A 22,959-nucleotide genomic window follows, 5' to 3' on the forward strand; every position below is an offset into this window, starting at 1 on the left:
GCAGCATAAATTCAAGCATTACACATCTTTTTTATCAACTTTTGTCATGATCTCATTGTCAGATAGAGAAATCTTTGAGGTTTGATTCCTTTGTCTCAAGTTTTTTCTTTGGTTCTGCACTCTTACTTTGTAGTGACCTTTTCCCATGTTTTGATCCACACCCTTCTTTCCATCTGCATATTTTGTTGCCCTTATCAAAATTGGAAGTCGTTTTATTTTATACTGGGCATGTAATTTAGTGATCAATTGCACTTTTAAAGTATGGGTACATTTTAGACCTTTAACATAACCAACATTTGTGTATTAAAACCCTTTATCTGTTACCTGTGGGTTAAAGAACCTTGCTTTTAGATTCTCGGACTCTCCTTCATCCTCTTGCTCATTTAGTTATAAAAGTGCTAACTGTCTCTCTGAGGAAAATATGCTGCTCTTGTTTAAGTTTTGCTTCTACTCCCTCAACTTAATTATTATTATTATTTTGTTTTTTGTAGAGACAGGGTCTCACCATGTTGCCCAGGCTGGTCTTGAACCCCTGGCCTCAAGAGATCCTCCCACTTAGGCCACCAAAAGCACTAGGATTATAGGTGTGAACCACCACACCCAGCTTCCTCCCTCAACTTTAATTAACTCTCTCCTTTCACTTTCTTCTAAAACTGAAGTTTATTTTTATGCATCCATTAGATGGTAATTTTACATAATATTTAAGGACTACCTGTATATTATTTTCAGAAATAATATCTTTTTTTCATGTAATATCCTTTTTTCCTTCTTGATTCCATCTGGATTGTTTTTTACTCAGTTACATATTTGATAGAGTTATAATGTTGGGTTGTTATTTTGATGAATAGAGGTATTTATCGTCACATAAATATAGTTAAAATGGGCCTTAGATGGGGTTTAATTTTACTCTTGAATTGTTTATTACAAATGTTTGTGAATTATTTTTTAACGTTCTATATGTTAGAGTAGGTCTCCTTTATGTCTTGAAAAATACAGATAATGTATTGATCATTATGTGAGAGAATTTACATTATTTTCTATGGAAAAAAGTACTGATTAAAGAATGTAGATATACCAGACCATATTCAGACTGAAAGCTAAGTGGCGTGTGTGTGTGTTTGTGTGTGTGTGTGTGTATTGTTTTAAAGAAAGTAACAGTGACATAAAATGTCAGTATATCTGCACATTCTCACACTTTACAACCTGCTTATTTTCTATTCCTCAAATTAAAAGCTTGGCAAAGGAAGTAGTGAGTGAAATTTCCTAAGTTATTGACTTTTTTATTATAGTCCCTCAAATATTTATTTCAATTATTTTTTGTTTTCCTTTGCAGAGATGGCATAGAATTTGCTTTTAAAGAGCCTAATCCGCAAGGGGAGAGCCATCCACCTTTAAATTTGGCATTTCTTGATATTCTGAGTGAATTTTCTTCTAAACTACTTCGACAAGACAAAAGAACAGTGTATGTATTTGCTGGAAATGTCCTATTTAATTTCATTTTGGGATTCTTAAGGGCAATTTTTATACTTGGTTTCTCTCCTTTCTACTCACACAGAATTGTAGGATTGCATTAATACACAAAAAAGTTTATACTTCAGCAACTTTATAATTTAAGGATTATAACTGTGTTTTATGCATAATACTCTATTTTAATATTGTGAGTTTTCCTCCAGTATAATTTTGGCTTTTGACACGTAATTTGAATACTTTATGTATTATTTAAGAGACTGGACTCACTATGTTGCCCAGACTGGCTTTGAACTCCTGGGCTCCAGTGATTTTCCTGCCTTAATCTGAGTAGCTGGGACTGTAGGCAGGAACCACTGCCTGGCTGCTTTTTGTGTTATTATCTGCATTTGTGCCTTAACCCAACTAAGGAGGGAGCATTTGAAAAAGAATAATAAAGGCAATCCATCAGGAACATCCTTTAATTCTCAAACAGGGCACTTTTCTGGTTTAGTCTCCAATAATAGTGACTTATAAAAGAGCCCCCAAAATGGATTTAAATTCTCAAAAATCTTCTACCTTTCGCCATGGCTTTGAGGTGTAAAAGGGCAGAAGCGTATGGATACCTCATATTGTAAATAATCTTGTCTGAAAACTCACTAGTATTTTGCATTTAAAGACTATAGATTTTATATGAAATTCTAAAGCAGGCAAAACTAATGTATGGTGATAAAAATTACAGTAACGGTTACTTCTAGTGTTGGAGAGTTTGAATGGGAACACTAGGGTACTAGAGTTCTGTATCTTTTTTTTTTTTTGAAATGAAGTTAGGTCTGTCCTTCAGGCACCATCTCGGCCCACTGCAAACTCTGCCTCCTGGGTTCAAGTGATTCTCCTGCCTCAGCCTCCTGCGTAGGTGGGATTACAGGCGTGCACCACCATGCCCGGCTAATTTTGTATTTTTAGTAGAGACAGGGTTTCACCATGTTGGCCAGGCTAGTCTCAAACTCGTGACCTCAGGTGATCTGTCCACCTTGGCCTCGCAAAGTGCTGGGATTACAGACGTGAACCACTGTGCCCTGCCAAGTTCTGTATCTTGTTAGGTATGTGGGTCACACAGGTCTATGTTCAGTTATAAAACTGATACAACTGTGCTCTTAGTTTTGTGTGTTCTATTGTATATAAATTTATCCCAGTTAAAATTGCATAAGCAGTATTAATCAGAGAAATAAAAATTAAAACAAATACCATTTCTCACCTAGCACATTAGGAAAAATTAAGAAGTCTGATAGTGTCAAGTATTGCCAAGGATGTGAGGCAGCAGAGCCTTTTATACATTGTTGGTGACAGTACAAGACCATTTTGTGGAGCTCTTTGGCAATGCCTAGTAAAGTTTAAGATTCTCTCTACCTCATGATCCAGTAATTTCATTCATAAGTAGATACCCCACAGAAACTCCTGAATACATGCACAAGGAGACCGATAAAAGAATGATGGCTGTTTGATTGTTTGAAATAGTGGAAAAACTCAAAATAACCTAAACATCCATCAACTGAAAATGGATCAATAGATTGATATATAATGGAATACCATACAACAGTAAAAATAGCTGGATTTCATTGAGTACAAACAGCAAAGTACAAAACTGTACTATGATGTTTACAGACAACTATGTATTGAATGTACAAAATGTGCATGGGGGTGATAAGTAGTGGTAACCTCTGGGCACGAGGAGGAAGCAAAATGGGGATAGCTTTAGTGCGGGCTACTTATCTGTAATGTCCTATTTAGGTATGTGGTGGGTACATAATTGTAAATCTCTCTGCCAGTGAGTATATTTTGGCTCAAGTTTTGTATCTTGTTGCAGACTTAACAGTTTTTGGAGTGGTAGCCAGTTCACAGGCCACACTTGGAGGAGTACTGTACTACTATATATGACTGAAGTGTATTGTAATACAGAAAGACATACTGGGAGTCGGGTGCCGCGGCTCACACCTGTAATCCCAGCATTTTGGGAGGTCAAGGCGGGCAGAGAGTTCGAGAGCAATCTGGCCAACATGGTGAAACCCTGTCTCTACAAAAGATGCAAAAATTAGCCAGGCATGGCAGTGTGCACCTGTAATCCCAGCTACTCAGGAGGCCGAGGCAGGAGAATCGCTTGAACCTGGGAGACGGAGTTGCAGTGAGCCGAGATGGCACCACTGCACTACAGCCTCGATGACAGAGTGAGACTGTGTCTCAAAAAAAAAAAAAAAAAAAAAAAGAGAAAGGCACACTGAACAGCTAACAAAGCAGTATGCTTTGTGACTGATTTCTCCTATTCTCTTTAATGCTGTTCACACTGGTGAATCTGAATTGATAGAAATCAGTCATTACAATGACAGCAAATATTTGAATTGCACTTTACAGTTAATTGACAAATAGTTGTCTTTATTTGAAGCATAATTTAGCCTTATAGAACTCTTGGTGTCAGAGCCTTGGACTTGAATCATAGTTATGCTGCCTACTCATTTTTATTACTGTGGGATTACTTCTTAATTTCAATTATCCTTTCTTTCGTCACCTGTAAAATTGGGAAAACATTTCCCTCATAGAATTGTAAGAATAGTTAAGGAACCTGAGGAAAAAAAAAATATCTAGCACATAGTCGTCACATGAACGTTAGTTGAATTTTGATTGCAAAATTACATATAAGCCTTGAGATACTTGGATCCAAGGGTAGATTTATGATTTCCATCAGGCTGAAACTTTTTTGCAGGTAGGTATCATATCATATCCATCTTTGTATCTATCCATAGTGCCTGGGACATAATAGGTACTCAGCAAATGTTAAACTGAGTGCTCTGAATTATTTCATTTGATGTGAAAATCTTGGCAGAGACAACATTGTTCATTAATGTCCTGTAAGGCTGAGTTTGAGTAGTGAAGTAATATGCCTATGCTCGCACAACTATGAGTTAATATAACCCACAGATTTCTGTATCAAAGCTAACAGTTTCGATTTCTTTTCAAGGTATGTTTACTTGGAAAAGTTCATGACCTTTCAGATGTCACTCCGAAGAGAGGATGTGTGGCTTCCACTGATGTCTTACCGAAATTCTTTGCTAGCTGGTGGTGATGATGACACCATGTCAGTCATTAGTGGAATCAGCAGCCGGGGGTCAACAGTACGGAGTAAAAAATCAAAACCATCTACAGGAAAACGGAAAGTGGTTGAGGGCATGCAGCTTTCACTCAGTAAGGATATAATTTATTCTCTTTATATTTATCCCTAATGTTTACCAACTGAATTGTCATTAAGGTTCACCTTATTTTTTATTTGAGATGTGTTCAATAATAGCTTACAAAATGTGTTCATTATGTGTAAACATGCTGTTGTAGGCATTTTAGATACATAAACTCAGTTCTCACAACTTTTTGGGTACATCTTCATTTTTCAGATGACAGTACTTAACACAGAGAGGTTAAGTAACATACTCATGTCACAGTTATTAAGTAGGAGAGCCATGCAGTTTCACTGTAGAGTGCCTGCTTTTTAAAATCTGTGCTACACTGTATGCATAGGGAAATGGACTCAGTATTATAGAGCTAGTTATTACCCAAGAGATCAGATCATCTAGTTAAAGTGGAACAACAGATTCAGAGAGGTTGCAACTTCTGAATTCCTATGAAGAGGCCATTAATCATGAAGAACTTCATAGAAATAGAGTGCTATCGTATTAGAGGTAGGAATGCATTATGACGCTTGAAGCTCTTAGACTCCTAGCACTCCAGAGTTGGTTCAAAATGGGCCTGGGGACTTTTTTCTTTTTCTTAGGAATTATTAAATTAGCATAGTTGTCAAAATTTGTCCCAGTTATTATTGTTGAATAGCAAATTACCTCAAAACTTAGGACATAGCCAGGATCATGGTGTCTGGTACCTCAGCCAGGAAGGCTCAAAGGCTGGTGGCTGAAATCATACGGAGGCATCTTCACTTACATATCTGATGCTGGCTGTCATTTGGGACCTCAGCTGTACTGTCTGCCAGAACACCAACGTGTGACTTCTCCATGTCAGCATAACACTAGGCTCCAAGAGCAAGTGTCCCGAAAGACCAGAAGTGGAAGGTGCCAATTTCTTAAGGCCTGGGCCCAAAAACTAGCATAGCGTAATTTCTGCCATATTCTATTGGCCAAGCAATCACAGAGATTCTAGGGGAGAGGACATAATTCTTAACCTCTTAATGTGAGGAACGTCAAAGAATTTTGGGGCCATATTTTTAAATTGCCACATAACTCATCAGCTTTCATTTATGATCAAGTGCTTAGTGTTTAAAACTTGATTGTCCTATGAATTTTAGTATCTTTTGTCCAGTAGTATAAAGGCATAACCTTATATTTCTAACTTGTACAATTTTACACTGGTTAGTTATATAGTCCCAACATCACAGTTGATGGGGAAATCTCTTTTATTACCCTGGGCCAGTTAAAGTAGTTAGGGCTGATGGTTTATAAGTTAAAAGAAACTTTTCTGTTTTTTAAAAACAAAATGTTATCAAATTGAAAGATGATGTTTTCTCATATCACTAAATTTTTGAAAGTTTTTATCATCTGAACTAGTAGTTAATAGTTATAGGTGTGTGCTGGGCCATCAAATCTCTCTCTCTCTTTTTTTTTAGACCTCATGGAAACACATGAATGGGTATTTATATTACAGAAATCTCTCTTTTTTTTTTAGACCTCATGGAAACACATATGAATTGGTATTTATATCACATTTTACAAATAGATTATTAAACCAGATACGTCAATTTTTACAGGAAGAATCAATGCTCTCATTCAGGTTTTTGGGGAGAATCATAGAAATTGGGGCATTAATAAGTTAACAGAAGGAAGTATGAATACTGATAGGTTGGCCAAGTCAATGCAATTTTGAAGACAGTATTGGAGCCTGAATGCAGTAGAACTTAAAGGCTGATGTAATTATATTGCAAAATGTGGAGTTTATGTTTAATCTATTATTAGAGTATTAGCTATTCATGCATTTTCTTTCCACTCTTATTCCTTAAAACCTTACACACATTTGCAAATATGTATAATCTTTTTTTTTTTTTTTTTTGATGGAGTTTTGCTCTTTTTGCCCAGGCTGGAGTGCAATGGTGTGATGTTGGCTCACCGCAACCTCCCCCTCCCTTGTTCAAGCGATTCTCCTGCCTCAGCCTCCCAAGTAGCTGGGATTACAGGCATGCGCCACCACACCTGGCTAATTTTGTATTTTTAGTAGAGACAGGGTTTCTCCATGTTGGTCAGGCTGGTCTCGAACTCCCAACCTCAGGTGATCTGCCCACCTCGGCCTCCCAAAGTGCTGGGATTACAGGTGTGAGCCACTGCGCCTGGCCTTTTTTTTTTTTTTTCTTTTGAGATGGAGTCTTGCTCTGTTGCTGAGGCTGGAGTGCAGTGGTGTGATCTGAGCTCACTGCAACCTCCACCTCCCAGGTTGAAGCAATTCTCTTGCCTCAGCCTCCCAAGTAGCTGGGATTACAAGCGCCCGCCACCGCACCTGGCTAATTTTTGTATTTTTAGTAAAGATGGGATTTCACCATCTTTGCCAGGCTCGAACTCCTGACCTCGTGATCCGCCTGTCTCAGCCTCCCAAAGTGCTGGGATTATAGGCGTGAGCCACTACGCCTGGCCTCATATGTATAATCTTCTAATGAAATAGTTTTCTTCTAAATTCACAATCAAAAAGTGCTATCAATTTTTTTCTCCCAGGTCAGTGATTTTAAAAATTACTATTAATTCAGTAACAATTGTACACAAATTTGACTTATTAATTATGGCAACATTTACAGACATTTGAAAAAAGTAGCTTTTGCAGGTGTGAAACCTTTTTTCTTTTTAGTCCAATGCTTAATTAATATTTGTATAGATTTGTGGCCCCCTTGCAGTTGCCTCTTACTACCTGCTCAGTGGTCTGCATCCCATAGGTTGGGAACCAGTCTCCTATTGCTTCCATCCCTGTTGCCATTTCTCACTCACCTAGGCCACACAATTAGCCTTTTAACTGGTCTGTTTGCTCACCGGTATTCTGTTTTTAAGTTCACTCCCCACACTGCCACCACATTGACTAAAACATGTAACTCACCAAATTGCTTCCCTACCTTAAAACCTTCAGCAGCAGTTCCCTGTTACCTTAGAAGAGCTCACAAGATTTTCCACAGTTTGATTCCTGCTTCTTTATCCAGCCTTGTCTTTTGCTACCCTTTCAATCTTTATGCCCCAGGAGTAGCAAACTGTTAGTTTTGAACCATATGAAATTGCCCTTTTTGTAGGTCAAATATCAGCAGATTAATAGGGTTCAGTCGACTGGGTGCGATGTCTCACACTTGTAATCCCAGCACTATAGGAGGCCAAGGCAGGCAGATCATTTGAGGCCAGGAATTCAAGACCAGCCTAGCCAACGTGCTGAAACCCTGTCTCTACTAAAAATATAAAAATTAGCCAGACATGGTAATGCATTCCTGTAATCTAAGCTACTTGGGAGGCTGAGGCAGGAGAATTGATTGAACCCAGGAGGTGGAGGTTGCAGTGAGCTGAGATTGCGCCACTATACTCCAGCCTGGGTGACAGAGCGAGACTCTGTCTCAAAAAAAAAAAAAAAAAAAAAAAAAAGGTTTAGTCCTTGTTTCCTGCCTTAGTGTTCTTGCTTTATGTTCTTCTCCCTGCCTAGAATAAAAAGCCTTTCTAGCCCACCTGATACCTACTCTAGTTAGAAGTTGCTTCTGGATAGCTGGCTCTGACCCCTTTCACTGCCCCCATTCCCCTTATACTTCCCTCTCTCCTTGCATTTACCACACTGTATTTTAATTGCCTGGTTGTTTTGTGTCGCAACTAGACTCTAAGGCCAGGTCAGGGACTGCCCCTTACATAGGTTTGTGTCCCCCGTTCCTGTGACTTGCATGTGGAAATCAACAGATGTTTATTGACCTGAACAGGTTGTATTAGACATCTGAATAGTCAAAATTAGTGACTAAACCTCGTCGTTAATTTTCTTTTCCAGCTGAAGAAAGTAGTAGTAGTGACAGTATGTGGTTAAGCAGAGAACAAACACTGCACACCCCTGTTATGATGCAGACACCACAACTCACCTCCACTATTATGAGAGAGCCCAAAAGATTACGGCCTGAGGATAGCTTCATGAGTGTTTATCCAATGCAGACTGAACATCATCAAACACCTCTTGATTATAAGTAAGTACATTTGATCATTTTCTGTACTATAACTTTATTAATTACATAGAAAAAGTTAAGTTAAAAGAGGAATAAAATTCTCCTTGAAGCACGCAGGTAACATGGATGTTAGCTCAAAGACAACAAGAGGAAGCAAGGCAACAGCAGGAGAGAGCAGCAATGAGCTATGTTAAACTGCGAACTAATCTTCAGCATGCCATGTAAGTGAGAGTGCCTTATTGTCTGAGTCTAGGAAGTTCACTAATTCATTTTAACATTTTAATGTGTGCCTTATCTAAAAATTTCAGCAAACTCTCTAGAGTAACCTAAGCTGAAATAATCAAGGAACTAAAAATTGGTCTTTCCAACAGAAAAGCAAAATATTTTAATTAAAATACTACCTAGTTAGCCAAAGGACCAATCTTAGGTTGATCTGTTGGAAAAGTTTAAATATCAATCCTTGTTTATTTTGGTACACAGCATTAAAAATACAGTTGTGTTACATCCTAATTGATTTTCCCAACTTAGTTCAGGCCCTCATCTCTCACCTGAACTATTGTATTAGCTTTCTAACTGGTTTTCTTCCCTCAAATCTCCCATTTATTTTCTCACCAAACCTCTCCCTTCACCCCCCGCTCCATCATTCACACCACCATCAAGAATTACTATTCTAGAATAAAAATCTTACCATGTAACTCTTACTTAAAACCTTTCTGTGGCTCCCCATTGCCTGCTGGATAAACTCCCAACTTCCTTAGCTCATGGCATGCAAGATGTTTCAAAATATGGCCCCTGCCACGTTTTAGTATCATTTCCTATTCCCTGGCAGCTGGTAAAATCATCATAAAAGAACAAGCTCAGGTGTCACTTTAACTGAAGCTTTGGTCATCTATGCTCCCATAACACTATGTATATCCATATTTCTTATAGCACTTGCCACATTGTATTGTAAATATTTGTTTATGAGTTTGTCCCGTTTGTCTAGACTGTGAGCTCCTCAAGGGCAGGGACCACATTCATTGCCTATCAGTGCTTGGCACGTAAAAGGTGCTAAGTAAATGTTCATTGAATGAATAAATGTTCAATGCTAAAAAAATGAAGTTTATCTTTTAAATACTTTGTTTTTACTGGATTATGTATGATAACTTTATAAATCTTTCTAAAATCTTCATTAGCTTTGGCTCTAAAAAACATGGCAGACAAGCAGTCTTTAGATAATTTTTTTAAATGTCTTGATTGGTATACAGGGAAAAGTGTGATGATTATGATTAAGTTTTTGAGTTTGAAAGCATTGTATTTATAATGTGGTATATGTTTTACTATTGGGAGATAGTAGTTGTTACCCTCTTCTTTTTTTAATTTATATTTTGTTCTGTCTTGTTGGTTTTTAGATGTTAAGAATTTTACCTGTTTTTCTTACAAAATGATCATTTACTATGAGTGGTGGCCTGCATAAATTCACTTTAGTTATCTCCATAGTGGTCTTAACCTCTAGAGACACAAGGTATACTCTATTACACGTATAGATTCTGATCCTGGTTAATATGGTCATCATCTATATTGTCACATAGTTCTATCCCCTTTTGTCTGTTTCTGTGACCACATTCCTTTTAATATAAGTTCTTATTTTATGCTGGATCCTACAACTGATTTCTTGGCTTCCAAGTAGTCGCCGGTCCATATATTCCAGAATTCTGCCATGCAATCATTTGGTCTATATCTCTCCCCATAAAACATTACACCAGTTCCTAAGATCCTATATAGCATGTCACTACTTAGTACCATTTTAATTCCCAATTATAGTTAACTCCCCCGCCTCCCGGCAACTACAAGAAATTATCTCAGTTAAATGACTATTACCAAAGGATTCTTTGGTGGTTGTACCATAAGTCATCTATTGCATGGGACTCTAAAGCATTTTCATCTTACAATGATTTTTCTATAATGGTATCTGCCCTATAACTAAAAATACTTCCAAATTTTCTTTTTTATTTTTCATAGCTTGTATCACATATATCTTCCTTGTACTTCAAACAAAATGCAGAACGGCTTTCTGATTTTCTGTCACATAGTTCATACAGCACATATATTCCCTTCACGGTTGCCTCTACAAAATATAGTAAAATTGTCTTTCTACCCAGAACTGTTAGGAAGTAAGGACCATTATAAACATATTTGTCCAGGTAACATGGATCAGAGATCGTATCTTGTTATCTTTATATCTTTTAAGAACCAGCATAGTATTGTGTAAATTGTAAGCATTCGGTAAATAATTGCTGGGGTTTTGGCAACTTTCTTGACTGTGGGGGTGTCTTTGGATGAGAAAAGAAGGTAATGTTGGCCAAACTAGGGAAAAACAAGTCCTACTCAGTTTCACTATTATGTTGGCTACTTTATGCTGATCTGGGCTAATTTGTGAACTTAATTTATTCCCCATAATTATGTAATAACATATATAACTTTTGGTCTTAGTTTTTCATTTTAAATTTCTAAATATGTCTTAGTTTTGAGTTTCATAGGGCACACGAATCTGAAGTTTCAGCATGAGTGTTCCTCATTTCTTCCTGAGGCAGAATTAATTCCTTATTTTAGTATGTCCTTATAACACTTGATGCATAGTTTTCTTGTAATATTTATCACATTTTGTCATAATTAATTGTTTATCTCTGTTTGCCATGGTAGACTGTAAGCTCCTTGAGGGCAGGAATCATGTCTTAGTCTTATTCATCTTTTTTTTTTTTTTTTTTTTAACATCCATAGGACACAGTAGAAGCCTGTCACGTAGTAGGCATTGTGTGAGTGAGTGCGCGCATGCCTGGTACACATTAGGTACTGAATGAATGAGGGAGTGATGATGGGTAAAATTAGCATTATATATTGATGAAAATATATGTTTTCTGAAAATGTCATTTTTTTGGTCTCTGTTTTATGTTTGTTTATTAATTTGTACCCTGCCTACTTTCAAAAAGGATTTGAGGTATCTTGTATGTTCCCATGTGGGAAATTCTCATTGAACCTTGTATATGGGATATCAGAACTATAAAGCTAAATGTACTGAAGTAATGTAGAATAAACATAACTCCTTAGCATTTTTAGACAAGTAAACATTGGGTTTTGATATCATTGATGACATAATCAATGCCTAATCATTCTCCCTGACCTTTAATTCCATCATTTTCCATTATACTTGAATATAGAGAGCCACATACTGCTGCCTAGATATTAATAGTCACGACATTAGTTCAGATCTTGACTTTGTTTTATATTTCTCTAGTCGGCGTGGCACAAGCCTAATGGAAGATGATGAAGAGCCAATTGTGGAAGATGTTATGATGTCCTCAGAAGGGAGGATTGAGGATCTTAATGAGGGAATGGATTTTGACACCATGGATATAGATTTGGTAAGAAACTTAATGATTTCTGTAAGATTTTCAGTTTAGATCTTTTGAAAATTATGTTGGATATTTATTAGAGTAGAGAAATACTTACCAAGAGAAGTAAGTTTTGCAAAAATATTAAAATAGTTGCCAGGGGTTTAGATATATGGGAAGGGATTTAGAAGAGAGTAAGGTTGGTGAAGGTGGTAGATCCTAGATTAAGATGATAACAATTGTCTGTTTGTTTCTGAGATTAATTTAGGAATATATAGGTTTAAAGGGTATATTTTGATTAATACTAATTTGACTATGAAAATCAATTTTTATTTAATTATGCATTTTAAAAAATATGAGTTAGTATAAAAGTATACCATTATCAAAACAATATATTAATACTACTTGTTGAGACAAATTCCGTATCAGATAATGAAGTAAAATTACTTAAACTTGGAAGGAAATTAAATACAGGTAGGAGTGTATTCTTTATTAATAATTAAATATGTGGTTAGGGTTGATCATATACAAAATGGTTTTACATATTTCATCTTGCTACATATCTCATTAAACTTTGTGAAGTAGGTTGAAAGGATTGAGGATATTGAAGCTTACTCTCTCCAAAGAGGCAAAACTAGCAAACAGTAAAGTTGATACTTATAAGTCCAGTCTTATGATTCTTTTTAGTATATTGTGTATTCTTCTTAAATAATTAAATTTTTAGAATGGTATAATTTGGTGCCTCGAAAGGAATATGATTTTTAAAGTAAAATGAAAAGTGAGTTTTCCGGTTTTTGTCTCTTAGGATAATTTTCCATGAGTTTTTTTTTTGAGATGGAGTCTTGCTCTGTTGCCCAGACTTCAGTGCAGTGGCACAATCTCAGCTCACTGCAAGCTCCACCTCCTGGGTTCACGCCATTCTCCTCCCTCAGCCTCCCGAGTAGCTGGGACTGCAGGCGCCCGCAACCACGCCCGGATAATTTTTTGTATTTTTAGTAGAGGCCGGGTTTCACCGTGTTAGCCAGGATGGTCTCGATCTCCTGACCTCGTGATCCACCCGCCTCGGCCTCCCAAAGTGCTGGGATTACAGGCGTGAGCCACCGCACCCGGCTGATAATTTTCCATGAGTTTTTAAAATATTGTGTCAGGTACACTTGGAATCACATAGACCATGTGAAGAACTTGGATATTTTCAGTTACTATCTGGTTTGTAGATATAGCTAAACTAATGTCAACTTATTTCCTTTTTTCCTTTAGCCACCATCAAAGAACAGACGAGAGAGAACAGAACTGAAGCCTGATTTCTTTGATCCAGCTTCAATTATGGATGAATCAGTAGGTTTAATTTAAATGTACCCTAGGATTGCAAAATCAGAAGTATAGGCAGTCTCTCAGTTTGAGGTTGAAGACCTGGGGCAGCATACTGAGAATAGATGAAAACAGCTGGATGTGAGAAAAAGAGGCAGGCAGGCAGGATTTCAGTGGGAGGGGAAGAGAGTGCTGCAATAGTGTTGACAGATTAGAAAAGTACTTTTGAATCCTGGCTGACTGGGACTTGAATATTAAGGAATTTGGACTGTTCTTCCAGGTTTGTACTGTTCTTCAATGGGTTGCCCATTGAAAGATTTTAAATAAGGTAATGGCATGATCAGAATTGTGTTTCAGAAAGATTTCCTTGACATTTATGGATGGGACAGGATGAATGAGGGGCGTCATATAAAGGCATGGTGAAAAATAATGAGAACTTGAACAAAGGCTTTGATAATGAAGAGAAGGGTATCTAGCTATCTAGGATGAGAGTCAGTTACCACTCCCACCATCCTTAATTGGTTATTATTGGGTTTTGTCAGTTATTTTTCTTAAGTACCTCTTATATCAGTCCCCTGTGCCATATTCTCCTTGACAGTGCCTTGATTCGGGTCCTCCTCAGTTTTCACATGGGCTGTTGCAAAGCCTTTAAGCTGATATTGCAGTCCCGCTGCTCCTTTATGCCTCTTGTGGGGTCATCTTTCTAAAAATGCAGATCTGATATTCTCACTTATCGTTCTAAGTCTTTTATTGATTTTTTTCCCCCCCATTGCCATTAGGAAGAAAATTCTAGCTCCTCAGCCTAGCAAACAAAGCCTTTTATGATCTGGTTCCCTTGCCATCTTAACCTTGGCCTTTTCCTTACATGTATTCTATGCTCTAGCCATATCAAATCTTGTAGTTCCACTCAGATACACTATGCTCTTTCCTGACTCCATAACTTTGTATAAGCTTTTTTCTGCCAGAAATTCCCCTTTATTTTTCCTCCTAGTAAAGTCTTTCTTTGATACTAATTCTGACATTACCTGTGGAATTTTTGCTGACTTCCACAGATTTTTTTTTCTCTCCTTCTTTAACTGTTTGTACACACTTTATTGTAATAATTACCAGACTTGTGTAGTGAGATAGGATATTACATGCCCTGGTCCTTCACTAGACTGAACTCCCTGAGGCAGTGATGATGTTATTCATTCTTAGTTCTGCCCAGCACAATAGATATTTAGTTTTGTCAAATGAATAAATCATTTAAATGCCCTGCCATCTCCCTTTTTAGAATCTACCCATTTTATGTTCCTTGTTCCTCACACCTACTGCCTCAGGTGACGGTTATACCATCCTCAAAGGCCTGCCTTCTATGTACAATTTCTACCATTCCCACCTTGCCCTCTCCTACCTCATAATCTGCTTTCAGATAGCTTTTAGAACTATTTTGACAAACTAATTCACACTAACATGTTTACTAATAAGGCCAAGGGGCCGGGCTCAGTGGCTCATGCCTGTAATCCCAATACTTTGGAAGGCCAAGGTGGGAGGATTGTTTGAGCCCAAGAGCTTGAGACCAGCTTGGGCAACACAGTGAGACCCCATCTTTACAAAAACTAAAAAAATTAGCTGGGCATGAAGATGCATACCTGCGGTCCCAGCTACTCAGGAGGGCGAGGTGGGAGGATTGCTTGAGCCCAGGAGGTTGAGGCTGCAGTGAGCTGTGTTCACAATACTGCACTCCAGCCTGGGTGACAGAGCCGAGACCCTGTCTCAAAAAAAAAAAAAAAAAAAAAAAAAGTAGAATCTGCTTCAATTGGTCTTAAGTGTGGCCTGAGATTCTGCACTGCTAACAAATGCTGTCAGTGCTTCAGGTCTGCAAACCATACTTTGAGTAGCAAGACTTTATAGTACCTAATGACCTGTTGCACTCATAAGTCTATAGTTTAACTGCACACTGAAGTTTATGGTTTTCTTGATAATTAATCTAACAGTATGTATCATCTTAGTTTGTTAAATAAAACATGGAGGTAGTGATTGTGATGAGGGGTAAAGGAATATTTTCAAGCAGGTGCGATGAAATGCATTTATTCAACAATTTATTACATCAGAAGTTGGTGCTAAAGCGAATAAGACACTCCCTGTCCTTAAGGAATTCATATTCTAGTGCACCTTGACTATCACTTTGAAATGAAAAGTATGGAAGGTAGTAGCTGAGAGTTTGGGTGACAGACACTGTGCTAGGTATGATTTATTTTGATCCTCTCAGCAACCGTGTGAGAAAGGTAATGGGAATTTCCACTTTCATACCATAGCAAGCTGAGACTGAAGAGATCATTTAGTGACTTTGCTCAGTTATACAGTTAGCAAGTGTCCGAGTAGTAATTTGATGCCAGTTCCTTTTGATTTAATAATCTCATGCTGTCTTCTACTGTTGTGCTTCCCAAAACTAAAATCCCCATTTGGATGAGAACACCAACAAAAGTAATTAAGAAATCGAAATGGTTAACTGTGATCAAAATTAATATGGGCAGTTAGGATCACCATTTTTTAATGTATTTGTCTAATGTCAGGAGAACTTTTAACATTCGTTTTCTTAGTTACATACTAGATTTGCAAAAAGGTGTTCTTCAGATTACTAAAATAATGAAACAGCAATATTAACTATGTGTATCTATTTTTGACATTTAACATTTAGAGAAAAATAGGGGCCTAATAGTCATTTTTTATTTATAGTGATTTTATAGCATTCTCATGTATATTGAATGTTACAACTGAGGGGCTTTTATTTATTCTTAATTTGATAATAGTTTAGCTGCTTCTGCTACAAAAATTAGGAAAATTAGCACATGTACTTATAACTGTAGTTTTATAGCATTACCACATGATGGCAGCAGTCACATAACTGAATGCTCAGTAATCTTTAAAGGCTTAGGTGTCTTTAGAAGTCTTTGACCATGTAATTTTTTTTTTAAAGTTAACAGTTTATTTTTTAAATATACACTAAACTATACTCCATACTGTCTTAACCATAACTTAAGAAATGGAATAATGGAAAATTTTGAATGTCAAATTCTGTTTGCCTTTATACAATACCCCACATCTGTTCTTACTGAAGCCCATAATACCGGAGTCATCTAAACAGTAGCAAAATTGGGATTTAAATTCTTTAATGTCCAGTTCTGAGATTCTCCAATTCTAAGGGAAGTAACTCAAAGCACCCTAATGTAGACACTTCAGTTTGTTACTAAATAAATTGTAAAAATATCTTTTTAAACACTTAATTTTTAAACATGATTTTCTAAATAAATCATAAAAAATATCTTTTTAAACACTTAATTTTTAAACAAGATTTTCTAAATAAATCGTAAAAATATCTTTTTAAACATGATTTTCACATTATCCAGGAGTGGTAATATAAAAACTCTGAACATATTTTGTGTTGCATATACATAAAATTCTAGATTTATGGTGTAGCTGGTTTTATATTTGGACACAAAATTGGTTTATACCATTTTGATAACAGTTGTTTTCTGCCAGAATTGCCAAAATACACTGAAGTTTGATATTAAATATGTTTAAGTATTTATTAATGTTAACATCAGAAACAGGCAGAGTTTGTGTTGGCACAGAAAAGAAAGTGTCACTACTCTCATTCTCTTGTGTTGAGATTCTCTTATTAGAATTATTTATAGTATAAAATTGGTAAAGAAGGGCTCCATGTAATGGAGCTAATTTAATGTTCTAGTAAGAGAATCTACTTATAACCTAGTCTGTACAAAACAAAAAGAATCTCAAGTGTTTGGGTGCTTTCTAGTCAGGCACTCTGTTTGGAAAGAACTTGAGTTCGTCTTCATCCCATACTCAATACTAAATTGCTAATTAAGATTTTGTACTTTCATTCATCATCAGACCTTTTCTACCGAGATTCATAGAGTGTTATGGTAAGAATTGGCCTTTAAACATTATCTCGGTCTTTTTGGTGGAAACGTTCTAACCACCCAAACTCTGACTTGAACCAAAAAAGGAGAACCCTGAAGCATGCGGGAAGGGGAGAGGACAAGGGATTAGTAGTGTGGTAGTTACTGTGAATGGACAGGTAAGAAATTGGGTGCACGAGTCCTCTTTGTTTTCATTACTTGGGATTCCAAACACTACTTGATAATTCATTATAAAGAGGCTGCAATCAGATACTTGTTTCTGGATCTGCAAATACACAGTTTCTTCAGCTCAAAACAATACATGAGTTCTATGACTTTTGTTCATAGAACTTATAAGAGATTTAACTTACAAGTAAGAGCTCTTTGTAATATTTCAGCTCATTACATCTGGCTTTGATATCAGTTCTTAATAGCTTATTATAGTATTCTAAAATATTACTTAATGGGCATAAGTGCTAGAATTTTAATTGAACAACCTAACTTTTAGTATATATACTAAGAGTCACATGCCATTCTTGTTTAGTGAACAAGGGAGAGTTGCTCCATTCATCATCTGCTTTTACTTTTAGACAAGTAATTATTAGATTTTACCTAACATTCCTTTCTCAGTTGGAGTATATAGAAAGCATCAATGTAAGTCATTTTGCCCAGATTTTACCTTACCCTTTTGATTTCTTAAAATTTGTAGTTCTGTTCCATTCACTTTGGCCAGATTTTCTAAAGAAAGCTTCTTGCTTTCTACATACTTGAATTGTTCTTAGATTTTTTTTGGTCTGCATACTCAAATGCCTTTTTGAAAAACCATATCCACTTCCCAGCACAAATAGCCAAGTTTGCAAGACTTTCTTAACCCCTTTCCAAGGAACCTGTGCCAGAAATATATGTGAAGAAGCACATTCATTTATTCATTTAACAAATACCTATGTTGAGTGCCTATGTTTAGGGTATTATCTAGACATTAGTGGTACATATAAGCATAATTAATCCAAGGTTCCTACTTTAATTATATGTGAGGTAAGTAGCATCTTGATTAGTCCTGATGTTATTTCATTATATATCATGGTCAATTTAATTTTAGAATTATACATCTGAAGAGAGGGGAAGTTTTCAAAGTGGTTTTATTAGCATGTTATTTAACATAATAAAGTATTAATGTAATATTTATGGATATATTTAAAGAAATGAATGACTTTTAACGAGATTTTCTCCCCTCTCTCTCTCTCATTAGGTTCTTGGAGTGTCAATGTTTTAATACCAGTACACAATTAAATCTGTGGTGAAGTCATTTTCTAAGTGGAAGAGGAAATTTTAAAGTGTGGTAGATACAGTGAAATTCTGTACAGATTTTTCTCTAAGGAGAATATGACATGCTTATGCTTACCAAGATCAAGTGCATTGAGGGGCAGTTTTGTTTGCCTGAATAAACGTAAAGGACAAGTAAACAATTTGATGATAAGCTACAGTTTTTCTTAGAAAGTAAATATTTTATTTATGCGCTGTTAGTTGGCTTTTGAATCGATTATTTCATGCTTTTTTTTAAAAAAAAAAAAAAACAAAATAACAATCTGAAGAGGCATTTGGTACAGATATGAATTCTCTTACATTTATTTACTGGTTGTACTAAATAATGATGACCTCTGCTGGATTTCTGTTTACATCCAGAAAACAATGTTAAGGATGTATTTATTCCCCTACCCTGAAGAAAGTGTAGGATAGAATTGTTTTTAGCATTCTAAATTTAAATGCTTAAAACGTCAATCAACAAAACTTTGTTTTAAATATTGTAATTGTGGAGAAAAGTAAACTTATAAGCAGAACTTTTACAATTTTTTCATCTAAAAGTATTTTAAGATATTTTTAAAATCCAAGAGCTTCTCTATACTTTTCAGAAATATCCAGATGCAGTGAACTGCCAGAAGGTAACCAGTCTCAAACATGCTTATCCCATTATCAACCCTGAAAGTTTGCTTGTCCTTTAAGATAAAAATGTAATGTTGTGATATTCCTTCCAGTAATGCCACTGTATTTTGTCTCCAAATAAAAGAAGCTTATTGTAGTATGTTTGCAGAAAAATTCTAAACAAAAATTATACAGCTTATTAGAGTGTGGGAATAGGGATCTAAATTTTAAATAAAATTATATATATATATAAATTGGTGCTGATTTTATAATTGCGCAGTTTGTTTAGTTTTTTCTTACTTTTAAATTCCAACTTAAAATTATGAGGTTTCAGAAATATATTGAAAGTTTAACAATGTTTAAAAATAGAAAAGCATGAGTGTTCATGCTTTAAAATGATTTTTAAATTTGTATTTTATATTGTTTTATCTATCTGTCTTTGCAAGCAGTCTTCAGGTTAAAGATACTTCTAACAGGTTACAGTACATTTCCTCTGTATGTAAATTAGATGGGATAATAGAATTCATAACCCATAATATTCTTTGAAAGCTAAGCTTTAAACTTCATTTTATGTCCTTTCACAAATAAATTAGTTTAAAACAGAAAGTGGCTACTTGCCATTTTGACATCAACTCATTTTGCGAGGCTTAGGCAGCTAGACATCGTTTAAAACAAAATATTAACTTATATTACATGTGTATCTATCTATTGTCAGTCGTCTCTCAGTTCTTGAGGTATATTATTTTAATCATTCCATGCCTTAATATGCTTGCAATACAAGAATATCTTCAGATGGGTGAATACCAAAAGGCTTTCAGTTTTTAGTCAGAAATCAAGCATTGGGCTGTGGTAGCCAAAAACCATAGGTTAGCTAAAAAGATCATGATACAATTATTTTATTAAGTCATGGTTAATAACAAATGAATCCAGACTTGTCTAACAGATTTTCCATCAACAAATATTGTTATGTGCAAAAGTATTGCCTATGTTGTTTTACACACCACTGCATTAACTAGAACTGCTGAGAGGACTGTATATATGATTTTAAACCTAAGTTGATTTTTTTTCTCACTCTTGAAAGGAGTACTTCTTTGTGAAAGCAGTTCTTACAGCTTTGTTTTCAACCAGCTAAAAATGTTTTATATATTACTCTAACCTGTTGTCCTCCACATTCTATTGTCCTAATTGTACTGTTTTCTGATTTGTATTTATGTCTTGAGACAGTAACTTTTTGAATAAAAATAAACCTACAGTATGTTGTATGTTTTCTCTTGTACTCAAAGGGGGAGGGTGGCTATAAATGGTTTGCAAATTTATATCTATTATCACATCTTTTAATGTGTTTGGGGAATAATTTATAGAGAATACCATCAGTTTATATTTTTAATAAATCATATGTATTTACAATGAAACCAAATCCCTAATTGGATTATTACTTTAAAATAGGAACCTGTAACCATTATTGCTTTAATTTTCATCTGGTATGAGTTAAACACATTTACAAATGTTTACATTGTTTATACAGGGTACATTTGAGTGCCTACTGTGTGCTAGCATGTGTTAAGAGATCTCTCCTTCATAGATCCATTGGGGAAAACAAAATAATGAAACTTGTAATAAATGCCAGGAAGGAAACAAGCAGGATATGCTGAGGTAGAGAATGAGAGAGAGACAGTAAGAGAGAAACCTGCCTTAAATAAGGGGCTCATGGCATGGAGGTAAAACCATTTGAAAAAGAATTTACTAATTGAATTCTTATTGAAAACTCATCAAAGAAAGTGTTAAGATTTGCATTGTACTCTTTAAGAGATTCATGTCAGTGTAACACTAGCACATTGTTCATTTGGGCTAGTTTGTATATCAGAATTGTCTTCTGTCATTAGTGATTCAGAACTGAACATATAAAATGATAGCTAAAACAGCTGCGTGCTGTTTTAAGTAGTTTACATGTAATAACTCATTAAGCCTCATGACAAGAGTTGATAATGCTGTCATTCCCCCACCCTCTGCCACCAATTTTTTTTTTTTTTTTTAACAAATCAGAAGAAGGTGAGAATGAGGTACAAAGAAGTTTAAATACCTTAGACCAGGGGTACCAGAACGTGGCCTGTTAGGGACTGGGCCGCACAGCAGGAGGTGAGTGGCAGCCTAGTGAGCAAGCATTAACCACCTGAGCTTTCCTACTGTCAGAGCAGCCGTGGCATTAGATTCTCATAGGAGCGCGAACCCTAAAGTGAACTGCACGTGCAAAGGATCTAGGTTGAGCATTCCTTATGAGAATGCTTGATGATCTGAGGTGCAACAGTTTCATCCTGAGCCCCCCTTCCCACCCTGCCCCCAAAGTCTATGGAAAAAATTATATTCCATGAAACTGGCCGCTGGTGCCAGGAAGGTTGGATACTGATACCTTAGACAAGGTTATATGGCTAGTAAATAATGGAGTTGGTATTCCAGCCCAGGCAGTCTGGCTGCATTAAGTCCTAGAAAGCATTGAAACTATTTGATAGATAAGGGAAATATTCATAATTGCATACACATAAAATGGTACATTGTTCATTGTGCCATAGTGCATCTATCTACTTAGAGTTCAGCTGGTTATAGAGTTGGTAGGTGTAAATAAATAATTGTCCTTAATATGCTACCTAACCGGCTTTCATAAAGAAGATGTAAGTTGAATCTGAGTCCTGAGCTTATCAGTGGTTTAGTTAATAAAGCTGAGAGACTGGGGAAGATGAGTAGGAAAATTGAAATGTCTTCAATATTCTGCCACAAAGGGAACTTTAAGGGGTCACGTGGTTGAATACAGATCAGACAGACTATTCTGGTGGCTGTAATGATCCAGCAAAAGAAAATGATTCGATAAAGCACCATGCCTTTGGTTATGAGGAAACTCGGTGTTGAAGTCCACTAAATAAATGTCACTTCAGGTCAACAAATTATTGATTGATGTGTGCCTGGCCTAGTGCTAGCTGGTGAGAAGGCAAAGACCAACAAGACAGGTTTTGTGCTTACAGTTCTGCTGGGGGTTAGGATGCAGGTGCCAAAAGAATAAAATGAAGTAAGTTCAGTGTTTTTACTGTGTGTTAGGGGAGCACAGACGAGGGGCGCAAACAGTGGATGTGCTCAGGGAGCCTTCCTATAAGGCTGATGCTAGAATTCTCCCCTGCAACATTTTTATTTATTTATTTTTTATTATACTTTTAAGTTTTAGGGTACATGTGCACAATGTGCAGGTTTGTTACATATGTATACATGTGCCATGTTGGCATGCTGCACCCATTAACTCGTCATTTAACATTAGGTGTATCTCCTAATGCTATCCCACCCCACAACAGGCCCCGGTGTGTGATGTTCCCTTTCCTGTGTCCACGTGTTCTCATTGTTCCAATTCCCACCTATGAGTGAGAACATGCAGTGTTTGGTTTTTTGTCCTTGCGATAGTTTGCTGAGAATGATGGTTTCCAGTTTTATTCATGTCCCTACAAAGGACATGAACTCATCATTTTTTATGGCTGCATAGTATTCCATGGTGTATATGTGCCACATTTTCTTAGTCCAGTCTATCATTGTTGGACATTTGGGTTGTTTCCAAGTCTTTGCGATTGTGAATAGTGCCGCAATAAACATACGTGTGCATGTGTCTTTATAGCAGCATGATTTATAATCTTTTGGTATATACCCAGTAATGGGACGGCTGGGTCAAATGGTATTTCTAGTTCTAGATCCCTGAGGAATCGCCACACTGACTTCCACAATGGTTGAACTAGTTTACAGTCCCACCAACGGTGTAAAAGTGTTCCTA

The 22,959-nt window shown here is 36.3% G+C and overlaps 1 protein-coding gene across 35 annotated transcripts in view; it reads left to right on the forward strand.

Annotated features, from left to right (window-relative positions):
* The window catches only part of STAG2 (STAG2 cohesin complex component), a 142,097-nt gene extending 121,528 nt beyond the window's left edge, over positions 1-20,569 (forward strand). For 19 of the 35 annotated variants that reach the window (XM_047441783.1, NM_001441077.1, NM_001375373.1 and 16 more), the window contains 6 exons: positions 1,334-1,462; positions 4,460-4,683; positions 8,488-8,677; positions 11,931-12,057; positions 13,285-13,362; positions 18,487-20,569. In XM_047441783.1, coding sequence (XP_047297739.1) covers positions 1,334-1,462; positions 4,460-4,683; positions 8,488-8,677; positions 11,931-12,057; positions 13,285-13,362; positions 18,487-18,510 — 772 coding nt within the window. In that variant the 3' untranslated portion in view covers positions 18,511-20,569. Of the gene's footprint in view, positions 1-1,333; positions 1,463-4,459; positions 4,684-8,487; positions 8,678-8,766; positions 8,878-11,930; positions 12,058-13,284; positions 13,363-18,486 lie in introns of all 35 variants that reach the window. The other 16 variants (NM_001042749.2, NM_001375366.1, NM_001375367.1 and 13 more) reach the window with 1 other exon arrangement.

The sequence above is a fragment of the Homo sapiens genome, chromosome X (assembly GCF_000001405.40).
Source record: "Homo sapiens chromosome X, GRCh38.p14 Primary Assembly".
Lineage (NCBI taxonomy): Eukaryota > Metazoa > Chordata > Mammalia > Primates > Hominidae > Homo > Homo sapiens.